Source organism: Homo sapiens, chromosome 3 (assembly GCF_000001405.40).
Source record: "Homo sapiens chromosome 3, GRCh38.p14 Primary Assembly".
Lineage (NCBI taxonomy): Eukaryota > Metazoa > Chordata > Mammalia > Primates > Hominidae > Homo > Homo sapiens.
The window spans coordinates 125,016,096-125,033,167 of record NC_000003.12 but is presented as its reverse complement, the minus strand read 5'-3'; the positions used below and the strand labels follow the sequence as shown (position 1 = coordinate 125,033,167).

At 43.1% G+C, this 17,072-nt stretch overlaps 1 protein-coding gene across 1 annotated transcript in view; it reads left to right on the top strand.

The window, feature by feature from the left end:
* The window catches only part of HEG1 (heart development protein with EGF like domains 1), a 90,288-nt gene that overhangs the window by 22,830 nt on the left and 50,386 nt on the right, over positions 1 to 17,072 (top strand). Inside the window, exons 2-5 of the mRNA NM_020733.2 lie at positions 3,680 to 3,973; positions 5,661 to 5,963; positions 12,038 to 12,376; positions 13,571 to 13,906. Coding sequence (NP_065784.1) covers positions 3,680 to 3,973; positions 5,661 to 5,963; positions 12,038 to 12,376; positions 13,571 to 13,906 — 1,272 coding nt within the window. The remainder of the gene's footprint in view (positions 1 to 3,679; positions 3,974 to 5,660; positions 5,964 to 12,037; positions 12,377 to 13,570; positions 13,907 to 17,072) is intronic.

Below are 17,072 nucleotides of genomic sequence, written 5' to 3'. Positions count from 1 at the left end.
ATTTTTTTAAAAAAATATTTTATTCAGCATTTTGAGTTGTTTATAGTGGCAGGGTTATGGAGGATACTGCAGGACTGTTGTCTACCTTTCAGTTTTGTTTATGGTGTGCATTTTTTCTTTCTTACATCTTTAGTCACCCCTCTAGGAAGAGAGCGCAGGTCAGTGTGGGTCCTGCCCTGTCTGCATGTGGCCATTCTTTTCCCCTCGGAGACTGCACTGGAGTTCCCTGAGCTGAATGGGCTCTGGGACTTCCAATCCTGGTCCTTGGAGAGGAAGGGAACAAAGCTGCTTCCTCAAAGGCCCCGCCACACTCACCAATGGCTGAGTCTCACCTTGTCTGAAGGTTGTAATGGAGCCAAGTTCATTGCCTTCCCTTTGCTCAGAGCTGGCCAGCTTTGGGGCATGGGTTTTGAGTGCCTTCTGCTTCCCTACAATCACTTCTCTCTGTCTTCCTTGGAGAATAATGTCTCATTGTGCACAGTTAGCCAAGAGGAGACAGAAAGCATCCTCAGACCTTTCACCTCCTCCCAGGAGACCAGCTTGCCTTCGCAGCTCCCAGAGGTAGAACAAAGGGACATGCCCTGTGGGCCACTGTTGTCTGTAACCCCAGTCTCTCAAGCTGAACTTACAGGCCTTGTGGCTGCCCCTGGAAACGCCCTTCCACATCCCATTTCTAGCTGCATGTGGGTCTTGCCTGTCTGGAACTGGGCCCCAGAGGAGCCCAGAGGCATGGCAACTTCCCTCCCCCTCCAGGAAGCCTCTGTTAATTATCACCCACAGGAAACAGAACAGGAGGCATAAAAACAGTTATCTCAAGGGATTTGGGGAGGAAGTGATTCCCTCAGGAAAGCCTGTCAGAATGTCTTCTGGAAGTTTTTTATAATCTTCACCCCCTAACCCCAAATAAGTGAGCCACTGCTTCTAGAAGGAGTGAATCAGAGTGGAGAAATGTTCAGAACCATTGATCTAGAACTGCACTGGCAAGTGATGCAGCCACCAGCCACGTGTGGTTGACGCAGCCACCAGCCACGTGTGGCTATGGAGCTCTTGAGATGTGGCTCCTAAAACATTCACTGGATTTTAAATGTTTAACACCAAAAAAAGAATATAAAATATCTCAATATTTTTATATCAGTTACATATTGAAGTGATAATCTTTTGGATATGTTGAGTGAAATAAAATATTAATATTGAAATTAATTTCACATTTTTTAATTTTAAAAATGCAGCTACTAGAAAATTTAAAGTGTACACATGTGGATTGTGTTTGTGACTCAGTATCTCTTAGGCAGCACTGATCTGAAAGATAACTTGTTCCGTGTGTATGTGTGTGTGCGTGTGTGTGTGTGTATGCATGCCTGTGTGTGTAGGTGTTTAAGTGTATGTGTATGTGTGTATATGTGTATGTGTGCATGTGTATGTGTGTGTATGTGTGCCTGTGTGTGTATGTGTGTGTGTGGGGGGTATATGTGGGTGTGTGTGTGTGTATGTATGTATGTGTGTGTGTGTGTGTGGTATTTAGATACAAACTGTAGGTTCTACCTGCAGCCTCTACTTGTCCGATGGTTTGCCATTTTTGTTTGATTCATATAAATCGAAGTGATTCCATTCATCCCCACAGAGGTTTCTCACCAATGCCCACAGTCCCCATTCCCAAACAGAAAGAGAAATAACATTTCCAAGTGGGGAAAATTAAATGGTTTTATCAGGGAGTCACGTAATCAGTGACAACTTCATGTGGCCCTGTCCTCACCCTTGCTCAGTGTCCCTCAATTGGCACCCATATTTGATATTGGATTCCAAATTAGTTTGGATGTATGGGGAAAGGACAGTGTTCTCAGAATGCTGTTTGGTTTTGGTACTATTTTTTAGGGGCCTGGCACCCAGCAGTGACCCAGCACTCAGCAGTGGCCCAGCTTTGGCTTCTAAGCAGTGGCCAGGTTGGGTGCAGACTTTTCCAGAGTAACAGGGCAGCTTTCTTGGACGTGACTTGGGCATCCCACGCACCTGCTCTGACCCTGAACCTCCTGCCTTGACAAACGGCATTTGATGCTACACATGACTTCCTTTTGCCCAATTTAACCCCCAACTTTAACTTCATCCTCAGAACATTTTTAACTAATACCCTCTTTGCCACCATCTTGGGTGTTATGGAAGTTAACTATCATTTAAATATATTTTCTGACTAATATAAATATATTCCTAATATACGGGGTTCAAGTAACAGTCCATACTCAACAGCATTATTTCCTCAGCACTCCCAACTGGAAACCATTCTCCTCTCCACCATTTTCCCTTCCAGCTGAGCACAGCTGGCGAGTGAGGGGCCTGGGTTTGGAGCAGGCTGCCTGGCCCTCCTGCTTTTTGACTGTGCGACTTGGGCAAGATGCATGACCTCCCCCACCCTCCATGCCTCCTTTGCTTCCTATGTAAAATGGGAAGTATAAGAGGACCTGTCTTCATCTTTGTGCAATGCTTGAATGAATACACATCAGGCACCTACGTCTGCTACCTACCTCCATGCATATTTACTGTTATTATTATTTTTCACAAAATGAGATCATTACATATAAAGTCTATTTGAAGCATGCTGTTTTAATTCAACAATCCCTGAAGAATATCTTTATTTTATAGCACCAATTCAGTGACCACATAGTTTTCTTTCTTGTGGATACTGTCTACTGTAACTGATTTAATTGATAACCTGCTGAAGGAGTTTTAGGTTTGTTCTTTCTCTTCCTCTTTCTACTGTAAACAATGCTGTAATGAACATCTATGCAGCTAAATCTTTGTCCACATTCTTGAGTATCTCCTTCAGATAAATTCAATTTGGAATTGCTGCCTCAAACCCATTCACATCACACAAGTTTCAGTAATATTGCCAGAGTCTTCATGTTTTATCAGAATTGCGCATTACAGCTCCCACCTGCAAGAGTAGGTGTCAGGGTCAAGGGCTGCCAGCTTTTATAATAGCTTCCTACCACCCACCCCAGGAGGCACAGTTAGCAACTTTGGCGAATATGAGATGCTTCTTGCCTTTTGCTTACACCCAATCTTCCTCCTCTAATCCCCTCTCTGACCCTGCACAGGTGCCAGAGGTTCAGTTGCTCTTCCATGAGCCCCATGTTGATCTCTTTCTATCAATAAATTTCCATCATTTATTCTATGCACAATGAAATTTAATCCTGTATTATATTGTTGCTTCATAATTCCTTCCTCTGGATTATAAGAATAATGAATATGGGAAAAAAAGAAAGGTGAAGTTATTATTTTTTAAGATGGAGTTTCACTCTTGTTGCCCAGGCTGGAGTGCAATGGCACGTTCTTGGCTCACCGCAACCTCTGCCTCTTGGGTTCAAGTGATTCTCCTGCCTCAGCCTCCCTAGAAGATGGGATTACAGGCACCTGCCATCACGACCGGCTAATTTTTTTGTATTTTTAATAGAGACAGGGTTTTACCATGTTGGCCAGGCTGGTCTCGAACTCCTGACCTCAGGTGATCCACCCGCCTCAGCCTCCCAAAGTGCTGGGATTATAGGTGTGAGCCATCATGCCTGGCCAAAATTCTTTTACTTGAATTCACTCTCTACTGATGTATTTCACGGTGTCTTTTCTGAAGGTTTACTTTTCTTGTCAGAAGCCAGCAAACTCTCCCTGATGCATCCTCTTCTTCTTTCAGATGCTGCCTGGAAACATTGGCCAGAAAGTAACACTGAGGCCCATGTAGAAAACATCACCTTCTATCAGAATCAAGAGGACTTTTCAACAGTGTCCTCCAAAGAGGGCGTGATGGTTCAGACCTCTGGGAAGAGCCATGCTGCTTCGGATGCTCCAGAAAACCTCACTCTACTCGCTGAAACAGCAGATGCTAGAGGAAGGAGCGGCTCTTCAAGTAGAACAAACTTCACCATTTTGCCTGTTGGGTACTCACTGGAGATAGCAACAGCTCTGACTTCCCAGAGTGGCAACTTAGGTGAGCTTGTGCTGATGATGCGCATTTCACGCATGTGTGTCCAGTCCTGGAAAACAAAGTTTCTGCCATTCCCCACAACCCCATTCTGAGCCATTGTGCCCTTCCAAGGTTCCTAGGCTGGGGTGGGTCAGACCTGTGACTTAGGCCTCATATGTATTATGCTTGCCAATACAGACCAGACAAGGGTGCAGATTTGCTGGTCCTGTGGTATCTGTGATCCATGGCCAGTGGAATCCAACCTTCATTCTTTTTCCAGGGAGCCTGCCACACCCGAGGGTCTCAGAGGCAGTAGGTTTTGTGGGATGCATAGCTGCGACAGGCTTGGGTTTGGTTTGTGTTGATGTGGCCCAAACGGTTGTTCTTGCCCTGGTGTGCACAGCTTGGTGGTTTGCTATTTTTAGCAAAGAATGTCAAGAAGGTGCTGGGGCTCAATGGGTAAAATTGCACGGAGGAAGAGAAGACTAAGAAAACTAGCATTAATTAGGGACCTACTACATACCACCATGTCTGTTCTCTCAATCCTTCTAGCAAGCCTATGAGATCATGTTATTCTCCTTTTAGGCATTTGGAAACTGAAGCTCAGAGAAGTTAGTTGTCCCAATATGTGTAGGTCAAACAGTTAACAGGTTTCAGAACTGGGATTAGAGCTTATGTGTATGTATCTGAGCAAGGTGGTGGGGGTGCTGAGGTGTGGAATGCCTGGACAACGAGAGTGAGGTGCAGAGGAGAGAAAGACAGGTGTGGCCTCTCTGTAGGGTGGTAAGGCCAGCAGGCTCCCTTGGGGAGGGCATCAGTTGCCCACAAAGGAGAGGAGGAACAGGTAGGACCATTGCGTGAACGGGGTTAGGGACAATCACGGAGGACTTTTGAAACCTGGCAGTTTAGATTTGGTGTGGTAACAAGAGTCAGTGAAGGTTTCTGAGCAAGTAAGTGACATAACTAAAGTGAATTTGAGGAGGATTCGCCTGGCAGGCAGGTTACAGGATGTCTAGCATGGGGGTAGGAGGATGGAGGGAACCTGGAGTCAAAGGGACCACCCAGGCAGACAGAGAAATTCAGACACCAGGTGCTGCGATGTGGCCTAGTGGCCACAGGGATGAAGAGGAGACTTCACCAAGGAAAAGTGATAGGACCTGTTGATGGCCTGAAAGTAAAGGATGAAGCCGTCAGAGATGACTCCATGGTTTCAGGTCCTAGTGGCAGGAGATCTGGTTGGGAGGGACTCGATTCTGTAAAGATGCATATGAAAGTCTTTTGTATTCATAAATGATTCCTACAGAGCTTAGAAACTCTGCACATGACATTCCCTGGTCCTCTTGGTCACCCAGATATTAGGAATTTTGTTTATATTGCATTCAGGTACATTCTGGGACCAATCTGGTGGAATGTGGATGCTGGGTCCTGATGATCAGACCCTGATCTCTGATTCCATATTGTCTGATACTTACCTCCAGTGAGCTCCTTTTCTGAGAATTTTACCACAATACACAGAATCTTTGTGAGATCTAATACACAGACCTTGGTCTGTGGTCTCTTTCAGGAGTTTATTTTTCATAGACTGAATTATTCTCCTAATTTCTTCTTATGTCTGTATATTTTGTAGATGTCAGAACTGAGCCCCCTAAAAGCATATTAAGACATTTTGAAGTCTGCTGGTGGAATTCTAATTGTTTTTGTCTGTTTTCAGCCTCAGAAAGTCTTCACCTGCCATCCAGCAGTTCAGAGTTCGATGAAAGAATTGCCGCTTTTCAAACAAAGAGTGGAACAGCCTCGGAGATGGGAACAGAGAGGGCGATGGGGCTGTCAGAAGAATGGACTGTGCACAGCCAAGAGGCCACCACTTCGGCTTGGAGCCCGTCCTTTCTTCCTGCTTTGGAGATGGGAGAGCTGACCACGCCTTCTAGGAAGAGAAATTCCTCAGGACCAGATCTCTCCTGGCTGCATTTCTACAGGACAGCAGCTTCCTCTCCTCTCTTAGACCTTTCCTCATGTGAGTGCCACATACCCAGCTTAACACTCGGAAGTCACTCAAAGTAGACATAAATCAATGTGCATAGCCAGCTAGTTACATACTCATAATAGTGGGTAAGGGGAAAAGACATCAAGCCAAAATGCCATTCCTCTAATGCCAGGTACTTGGAGTGGAAGTAGGTACAACCTACCCAGTTTATCTCAGTATTGAGCCTCATGTTTAACATAGTTTTTCTTTTTTTGTCGCCCAGGCTGGAGTACAGTGACGCGATCTCAGCTCACTGCAACCTCTGCCTCCCAGGTTCAAGCGATTCTCCTGCCTCAGTCTCCTGAGTAGCTGGGATTACAGGCGCCCATCACCATGCCCGGCTAATTTTTGTATTTTTAGTAGAGACGGGGTTTCAGCATGTTGGCCAGGCTGGTCTTGAACTCCTGACCTCAGGCGATCCACTCACCTTGGCCTCCCAAAGTGCTGGGATTACAGGCATGAGCCACCACACCCAGCCATTGGTGTCTATTCTCAAACAAGAGACCTTACCTTGGGGTGCATGAAATGGTGAGCATTGTACCATTTGATTAGGAGTGAGATTTTTATTTCTTCATTATTGCAAAAATGTTTCCTTCGATGGTAAAGAAAACATGAGTGTACATTTTTCTAGGCATCATTTTGAAAAAAAAAGCAGATATAATGCAGGAGTTTGCAAGGCGTGATATTAGTAACTACAGCTGTGGAGTGCTCTCCTCTCTCTCTGCTGTTCCAATTACTATTCATCACTTAAGTCTCAGCTCAGGGATTCCTGAGCCTTTCTTCAACCATCTGGTCCTCTGTGCTGTACACCTCATCATAGCAGGTCATCTAATGCCTCTCTGCCCAGAGAGACTGTAATCCTCTTGAGGACACCGGCTGTGTCTGTTACTTCCTTTAGGTTCCCCCTCGCCCAAGAACAAGGTGCAGCCGATAAGACATAGGGATTAGCATGTGCCCAGATACCCTCACAGGGCACATCATGCCATGGGCCAAAGAGAGTATTGGAAACTCTGACCATCTTTTTTCTTCTCCGAGGTTTTATTCAGTGTTTGTGTGTGCTGCTTGTGTTTTCATCCTCGTACCATAGGGAGCAGGACAGAGAGGGTTGGAAATGTTCTTGGAAAATAGAGGTTAGGTTGTCTCCAAAATTGCCATTGCAAAATTTTTACAGGTCAGAGGTTTTTAGAAGTAACTTGCGAGACTAGGAGTTTGGGTTTGTGTCATCAAAGCAAAAACTAAACCCAGGAGTCCCTTCTGGAGTGCCTGTTTAAAGCAGCCAATTCTTCTTCCACATACCCTGTATACAGTTTCCTGCTGACTGGATTTGGATATAATTCATGATTCATGTTTTTAGAAGATTGCTTTTTAAGATTATTCATAAACATTGCTTGGATTGGATAAAAGCTGCAATTCTTCCAGCCTCAAAGTTCTGTGGTTCAGTGATTTACAACTTTACTAAACGGTAGAAAGGAAGTATTTTTTAGGAAGCTATGCTTTGATTCTGGTCAGGATCATTTAATATTTATAATTTAAATTCAACCTACTTTGGTGGTATATTTGAAAAATCAGCCTATGTTTCCAACTTTACTGGACTTGACTCTATGACTCTATATTCACCTATATATTTTTTTCACGTATATTTTTCAACACTAAAAAATTAATTGTCCCTGAAATTCTTTACCATCCATCCTTTTAAAAGCTTATACTTTTAACTGCTGGTGAGTTTCATCGTATCTTTCATATCTCTTGAGTCTTTTACTGAACACTTCTCTTCCTTTTTAGTGAACTGTGTGTTCAGTTCGAGGTAGAGTCCCACCACCCTTTTAGATATTAGAGATGGCTCTGGGTGCTGTTAAATGGGGTTCTCACCAGGCATCCAAGTATGTCTGAATCCATCCTGCCAACCTCCCCTCCTCCCCGTGGGGATGCAGAGGGTACATGTACAAAGACCTGAAGTTACATGGGAAACAAACTTCTGCTTTGTTTTTAAAGCTGGGCTGGCATCTGGTAACCCACTAACCAGAGTCTTCCCCTTGAATCTAAATGTTGAGACATTACTGTCCCTTTCTGACTACACGATACAGGAGCTCTAGGCACTCAGGCAAGAGTGCTGAGAGAGAGCCAGCAGGACCTGCCAGGGAGACCTGGAGTCGGCTCAGCCTGGCTGGCCAGCTCTGGAAAAACAAAAGCAAAGGAGGTGAACACTTGGCCACTCCACCCACTAGGAAATATGACCCTGTGAAAAGCCTGGCGCTTACACCAGTCCGATGAGTGATGCGCCTCACTAGGTGAACACAAGGAAGATAGCTAGGAGCCTGGCATGGAGAGGAGGTGGCTCCTTATTTGGAACATGAAGGAATTTGACCAGATGATCTGAAAGATTCTAGTTTCAGCATCTATGATTCCACGTGTATTCAGCCTTTGTATTCTGTGCCTCGTTTCACTCTTCACTCAGCTACACAGAAACATGCATGCAACATAACCTCTTCCGAGGCTGGGATAGTCAGGAGTTACCTGCTTCCAAAACCAAATTGTATGCCTTACAGTGTTAAAGCAAGTATAGGCCTAGGCAATGGAATCAGATTTTTAAAAAGAGATCAGAAACCATTGGAAATTGTTTTTCTTGCTGCTTTACATCTTTTGCTGCTTTATGTCCTTCTATGTGTTCCATATTTTTTAATAATGACCATTGTACTATTTGATCATCGGAGGGAAAAGCAAACAAAGCAACGAACAGGGAAAAAAGCTCCCTTTTGAAGGTGGAAAGAGATATGTGTATGTTGAATTGTGTGAGAGTGGCTACAATTGAGCACTAAATTTAGTACTGAGCTTCCTGGAAACCAGGGCACAAAGGGAAACCGGGTGGGGCATGCAATTGTTTTCAGATAAAGTAAGCATACAATTTCATCCATAGGCATAAGTGTTTGGGGGCAGTACATTTTAAGAGGACTGTTTATATAAGAAATGTTGAGAATCATAATGGAAAATGCCTTCAATTGCTGTTTTGTGGAAATTGAGCTAATGTTCTTTAAAAGGTGATATTTTATATAGATTCTCAATAGGAGCTGAGGATATAATAATGTATCTCAACTTATGAAAGTATTTCTGTGGGTGGCTAAGCTACTGTGGTCCAGGTAAATTGCTTTGTGGTGATTTCACTTTGTAAAGAAAGAGAGCATAAATAACTCAGAAGATTGCAGATGTGACGTATCTTTCTCAAATAGCTGCTTCAGCTGTACTTTCGGCAAGTTCTGGATAGCAGTCAGGTCAAGGTTGAGCGTTCCGATGTGTTCCTGAGGTTCCAGTGTTTTGTGCTGTGATTGAAGAGAGACCCATGTACTTTTAGCAGACGAGTAGGCATTCTTGCAACCTCCCATTATAAAGATCAGGAATTTGGCTTGTTTCTGCTCCCAGATGGATGGTCTTTCCGTCGTTGAATGGCTGCTTTCGGGGTAGAAATGAGCAAGAAGGGCAATTATTAAATAACCAAGAATCCAGCCTGTTGATTAGAAATGTGGTACATTTCCCCCAGATTTATTTAACAGGTGCTCATTTAGTAATATAAGTGGTGTTTGTAGATTAGTTTGACCAAACATTTTCTCTTTTTACGAAGAGTCACCAACTCTGCCAAAGTATTCACACACATTTCATAGCTTTCCCGTGAGGATTAAATGAGATTTGTATACAATGTACTTCGCCCAATGCCTTGCAAGTCATAATTGGTCAGTAAATGGTAGTTTTTGATAATGATGATAATGATGAGATAATGAGATAAAGAAGCAATGTTCTGCAGAGCTCTCAGAGTCAGGGAAAAACAGAGCAGTTTTCCTTTCATGACTTTCAGCATTTGTGACTTTTGTAATTATATTTCTGTGGCCATTGATTTGCTAAATCCACTAGAGATGGACAGGCCTGGGTTTTTCAGGCTGAATTCAGTATCACCACTGGAGTTTTTTTGGTTTGTTTGTTTTGTTTTGTTTTTGTTTGTTTTTTTGTTTGTTTGAGACCAAGTCTCTCTCTCTGGCTCAGGCTGGAGTACAGTGGCACAATCTCAGCTCACTGCAACCTCCACCTCCCAGGTTCAAGCAATTCTCCTGCCTCAACCTCCCGAGTAGCTGAGATTACAGGCACCCACCACCACAGCCGGCTAATTTTTGTATTTTTAGTAGAGATGGTGTTTCACCATGTTGGCCAGGCTGGTGTCAAACTCCTAACCTCAGGTGACCCACCCGCCTCAACCTCCCAAAGTGCTGGGATTACAGGCATGAGCCACTGCACCCGGCCGACCACTGGATTTTGATGGGAATGTTGAATGGATGAAATTAATGCAGTATCCTGGGAATAAAAGTGTTTTGAAAGAACCTCTAGCAAGCTAATGAGGCTGTAATTTGGTGGATATAAATGATGACTCTAATGAAGTTAGGGCTGAGAAGTCACATGGTTGAGTGAGGATTTGGGGCATATCTATAATGCTTTCTTTTCTTTTTATTTATTTATTTCTTTTTTTTTTTAATACTGAAGTGTGTTTTGTTTGTTTTGTTTAGTTTGGTTTATGTTTTTAAGTAGAGGTGGGTTTTGGTGGTCTGGGACTCTATTTTTGTGTCCAGGTCTTTCTGTTTCTTGTTTCCATTACTAGTTTTATAGATTGCCTGCATCTTCATTTTGTCTCCATTAAGGTGGGGTGACCAGAGCTGCCGGCTGTGTTCTGGATATAGCTGGTTTTATGGTTTTGCACAAGAATGAGAGGAACCTTTTTGTTTCCCATGCATGCTCTCTCTCTCTCTCTCTCTCTCTCTCTCGCTGTAGTGATACTTAAAATTTATTTGTGGTTTTGCTCACAACTGCACATAGGACTGGTCTTCAAGGAAATGTTTGTAATGACAACTTCCTTTTTCCCTTTTCTAGGCCATAATTAACAGCTCAAAGCCTTTTATTATATAAGTGTAGAGTACTTTTTATTATTTTTAGCCTAAAAAGAAGAAAAACACTCTCTTTTTGTGACTTTAGTCTTACCCACCATGTTTCTTTCCATTCCCTAAGCTTTCCTGCAGTTTATTCCCGTTTGGAATGAAGATTTTAATAGACCTTTCTGGAGGTCAGTTCTCAGGGCATCCTTTGGAAAGTTATTTGTGGAAAGGAGACACCCGTACTTATGTGGAGCAGACTACACCTTTTGACCAATAGCGTCTGATTCACTCCTTGAGGCTCTTGACAGTTTCCCCATGGCAGCCATCCATCTATTAGAGCAAATGCTCCTGGAGTCCTTGATCTCTGAGGGGCCCATTGGAGTAGTATGCAGATTTGAGAGCTGGTCTCTAAAGCTTAATGGGGCAAAGTATGATAATGAAGCCTGTTTGCTTTTGGGTGGAATTAAATTTGTGGGGTAATAATAAGTATTTCCTGCTGGTTAGAAATTCTGTTACTTAATAAATGCAGTTTGGTTAATAGTCTTTCAAAACATAGGGCTTATGGTGGCCATGAGGTAGGGAAAAATAAAGAACCCTTGATGGTGACAAGCCTAGGAATTACTGCTCTAGGCCATGAGTGTCCCAGCTGTGTTCTGCAAAACCCTCGGCCTCCTCAACAGTGACCTGGGGTGGGGCACCTTGCAGCAGCTTCACTTTTATTCATTTTATATTATGAGATTTTAATCAATAATAGCATTTGAACAAAAAGGTTACATTGCTAAAACAAAGCAGAACAAAATAACAAAAACCTTATCACAGTGGCCAGTCCTGTTTAAGCTGTAATGTAGAATTCAGCAGACATTTTCATCTTTCTCTTTAAAAAACAAATAATGCAAACAACGTATAAGCTTCTCATTGTGCCTGGTGAGGGATCTCGGTGTTCTCCACCTTCCTCTGTGAGGATTAGACCTAGTAAGGGGAGAGTGCAGGCATGTGTCCTGGTAGCATGCGTGTGTATAGATATGTTTGTATCTATATTAGGTCCATGGTATTTAGATGTATCCACCAAAATGTAAGAAACGTCATTTGTATCTCGAATATAGTCCGGATTTTCTTAAACTCCTGAGTAATTTTGAAGCATATCTTTTTCCATTGTAGCTTCTGAAAGTACAGAGAAGCTTAACAACTCCACTGGCCTCCAGAGCTCCTCAGTCAGTCAAACAAAGACAATGCATGTTGCCACCGTGTTCACTGATGGTGGCCCGAGAACGCTGCGATCTTTGACGGTCAGTCTGGGACCTGTGAGCAAGACAGAAGGCTTCCCCAAGGACTCCAGAATTGCCACGACTTCATCCTCAGTCCTTCTTTCACCCTCTGCAGTGGAATCGAGAAGAAACAGTAGAGTAACTGGGAATCCAGGGGATGAGGAATTCATTGAACCATCCACAGAAAATGAATTTGGACTTACGTCTTTGCGTTGGCAAAATGATTCCCCAAGTAAGTATTCCATCTTTACTTGATCTATTAGGGACATTTGTAAATCATTGAATTTTCTTAGGGGACCTCTTCAAGACCATTTGTAATCTCCAGAGAAAAGTGTGCTTTTTAATGGCACTATTGCATTTTGATGGTCACTCTTATGAGAACATTGTGAAGTTAGTCAGACAGGTGTCATTCCTCCTGCTTTCTTATAGATGAGAAAACTACGGCTCTGAGTGTTTAAGTAATGGGTGCCTGGCCATTTAGCTCACTCAGTAGAGTTGAGACCTTAGCCTCAGGGTTCTTGGTTCCATCTTCTTTTCACTCTACAGGATGGTCTTCAAGCTGAGAGCCGGCCTACTCTTTATGTTTTATTTTGTTTTGAAGACAATGTCTGGCTCTGTCACCCAGGCTAGAGTGCATTGGCATGATTACGGCTCACTGCAGCCTCAACCTCTCCAGGCTCAGGTGATCTCTCACCTTAGCCTCCAGAGTAGCTGGGACTACAGGTGCATGCCACTCCATCCAGCTAATTTTTCTATTTTTTGTAGAGATGGGGTCTTGCAATGTTGCCCAGGCTGGTCTTGAGCTCTGGCCCTAAGCAATCCTCCTGCCTTGCCCTCCCAAAGTGCTGGGATTACAGGCATGAGCCACTGCACACAGCCTGGCCCACTCTTCAAACTAGCTTCAGTTATTTTGTGTACAGATCATCTTTCTGCATAAATGTGCAGATATAAATATTATTCCCAAATTCGTGGTTTGGCTTAATCCTTATAATTGATTTTTGTTTTTGCTATACTTTGGTATTTAGAATAACCTTTATTCATATGAGAACTGTTTTAGGAAAGTGCTCTGACTGTGCTATATTTATTTGCATTGTATTTGTTGTACATAACCACACACTCACTCTCTCGAACACTTTTTATGGGAAAGAGAATGAAACACTCAAGCCTATAGGTTACTTTGCTACTTGCACATGCTATTTCAAAGGTCCCCTGTTCAACAAGTTATATTTTTTTGTATTACTCTCTTGCTGCCACCCAAGAGTTTTGAAATAATTATTTAGAATATGATAGTGCATAATACATTTAATAAACACTATACCAGGTTCCTTGGCAAAGAATCTTTCCCTAGAGAGGTCTCACTTCTTAGTTGCCAAGGGATCTCTTTCATACCTATGTAATGGCCTTTTTTTCCTATATTACCTTACAGCCTTTGGAGAACATCAGCTTGCCAGCAGCTCTGAGGTGCAAAATGGAAGTCCCATGTCTCAGACTGAGACTGTGTCTAGGTCAGTCGCACCCATGAGAGGTGGAGAGATCACTGCACACTGGCTCTTGACCAACAGCACAACATCTGCAGATGTGACAGGAAGCTCTGCTTCATATCCTGAAGGTGTGAATGCTTCAGTGTTGACCCAGTTCTCAGACTCTACTGTACAGTCTGGAGGAAGTCACACAGCATTGGGAGATAGGAGTTATTCAGAGTCTTCATCTACATCTTCCTCGGAAAGCTTGAATTCATCAGCACCACGTGGAGAACGTTCGAGTGAGTTTTTCCATTTCATGCAACTGTGCCCCATAGAGGAGAGAGGGACTCATGATGCTTATGAAATCTGTGGCGTATTAAAACCACGCATGAGGGCCTAGCGTGGTGGCTCACGCCTGTAATCCCAGCACTTTGGGAGGCCGAGGTGGGTGGATCATCTGAGGTGAGGGGTTCAAGACCTGACTGACCTACATGGTGAAACCCTGTCTCTACTAACAATACAAAAAATTAGCCGGGTGTGATGGCAGGCACCTGTAATCCCAGCTACTTGGGAGGCTGAGGCAGGAGAATCGTTTGAACCCAGGAGGTGGAGGTTGCAGTTAGCTGAGATCGCACCACTGCACTCCAGCCTGGGCGACAAAAGCGAAAGTGTCTCAAAAAAAAAAAAAAAAAAAAAGCATGCATGAATGAAATAACTCCTCAGGCCCCTCCACCTTCCTTCCTTATTTCCCAGGCCCTTCTTCTAGCTGGTTGATACAGATACACCTATATATCCCCCAGTTTTTTCTGGTACATCTCTGAGAAGCTGTTCTTGCCACTTCCTCTTCCCACACACAGCTCAGGGACTTCTCTGTCCACATCCTCTCATTCCCTGTAGCCAACCCATAACTCCATACCTGCCTCAGTCACAGAGCTTCTGGAAGGTGAAAATATCACCTTCTCGTTAGTAGTTGTCGGGGCATTCATCCAAATAAATTCTCTGTTTTTTAAAAACCAGCTTTATTGAGGTATATTTCATATTCCATAGTATTTGCCCATTTAAAGCACACAATTCAGTGATTTTTAGTGTAGTCACAAAGCTGTGCAGCATCACCACTGTCTAATTCCAGAGCATTTCCATCACCCCACAAAGAAACTCCAAACTCATCAGCAGTCAACTCCCATTCTCCCCTCCTCCCAGCCCCTGGCAATCACTCCTGTGCTTTCTGTCTCTGTAGATTTGTCCATTTTAGACATTTCCTATAAATGAAATCATACAATATGTGGTCCTTTGTGTCTTTCCCTTAGTGTCATGTTTTCAAGGTTCATCCACGTTGTATCACAACTTCGTTCCTTTTCGTGGCTTAATAATATGCCGTAGCAGGGATATACCACACTTTGTTTATCAATTGTCATCAATTGATGGATGTTTGGGTTGTTCCCACCTTTTGGCTATTATGAATAATGCTGTGGTGAACATTCAGGTACAAGTGTATATGTGGTCGTAAATTTTCAATTTATTTTTTTTTTTTTGAGATGGAGTCTCTCTCTGTTGCCCAGGCTAGAGTGCAGTGGCACCATCCCGGCTCACTGCAATCTCCGACTTCCGGGTTCACGCCATTCTCCTGCCTCAGCCTCCCGAGTAGCTGGGACTACAGGTGCCCACCACCACGCCTGGCTAATTTTTTTTTTTTTTTATATTTTCAGTAGAGACAGGGTTTCACCATGTTAGCCAGGATGGTCCCGATCTCCTGACCTCATGATCCGCCTGCTTCAGCCTCCCAAAGTGCTGGGATTGCAGGCATGAGCCACCATGCCTGGCCATAAATTTTCAATTATTTAGGAATGGCCAGGTTATGTGGCTGTGGCTGCTCTATTTTTAACCTTCTGAGGAACTGCCGAACTCTTTTCCAAAGTGGCTGCATCATTTTATATTCCCACCAGCTGTGTACAAGTGTTCTGATGTTGCTACATCTTCACCAACACTTGTAATTATCCATCTTTTCTGATTATAGCCATCTGAGTGGGGGTGGAGGCATCTCATTGTGGTTTTGACTTGTATTTTCCAGTTGACTAATAATGCTGAGCATCTTTTCATGTGCTTATTGGCCACTTGTATATCTTCTTTGAATATGTCTAGTCCAATCTTTTGACTATTAAAATTGGGTTATTTGACTTTTTATTATTAAATTGTAAGAGTTCTTTATGGCCGGCTGTGGTGGCTTACGCCTGTAATCCCAGCACTTTGGGAGGTCAAGGCGGGTGAATCACTTGAGGTCAGGAGTTCAAGACCAGCCCGGCCAACATGGCAAAACCCTGTCTCTACTAAAAATACAAAAATTAGCCAGACATAGTGGCACGTGCCTGTAATCTCAGCTACTTGGGAGGCTGAGGCAGGAGAATCACTTGAACCTGTGAGGTGGAGGTTGCAGTGAACTGAGATCATGCCACTGCACTCTAGCCTGGGTGACAAACAGACCCTGTCTCAAAAAAAAAAAAAAAGTTCTTTGCATATTTTGGATACAGTCCTTTATCAAATATATAATTTGCAGACATTTCTCCTATTCTGTGGGTTGTCTTTTCTCTTTCTTGATGGAATCATTTGTAGCACAAAAGTTTTTAAATTTGAAGAAGTCCAATTTGTCAATTTGAGAAAATTTTTCTTTTGATGTTTCTTTTTAATAATGCTTAGGGATAATTTTTTAAAACAATTCTCACAGTCTGTTATCAATGTAAAGTATATTCTGACTAAAGCAAAAATGTATTAGCTGATCATTTAAGCTTTGAATAGGTTTAAATTCTTACTTCTCCATCACTAGTTATAGCTTCATTTCCCCCATATAAGAATCCTAATTGATGAGGAAGATTAGCATTTATTAGTACTCACGTGATGTGGAAAAGCATATGCTTATCATGAAAGAATACCACACACACAAGCGGGGGATATTTATGCTCTTTTATGTTTGTGCCTGGAAAACACATTATCTATGTCCTAAGCAAAAGGAATCATTTTTCACCCTCACTACTGTGGGGGTCAGGACTTCTACCTTCTCAAACCAGGATCTTGAGTTTCATAGCCTTTCTCTTTTACATCTCTTCAGTACCCGCTTCTCTGCAATTAATGCTCAGTTGGTTCATGAGGAACATATGATTTCAGTGTGATCAGATCTTGGAGTTCATTTATAAAGAGCTAGATAGAAAGTAGCCACATTCCTGAAACCATCTCACTGTGGGTTAACACAATACTTTATCTTTTTCCCTCAGAGTCACCCAAAGCTGGCGGGGTTCTGCACTCCGGCCTTTTAGAGTTCTTGGCCCGCTCCCTTTTCTGCATTCAGAGTCTCCATTTCATGTCTGACTCTCTCTCTACTTTGTTAAGCCTGTAACCCTGATGTGGTCATTGGCCTAAATTTCATTTAACAGAGAGTTTAGGATCTCCCCATCCAAGACCTTTTTCTCTTTGCCC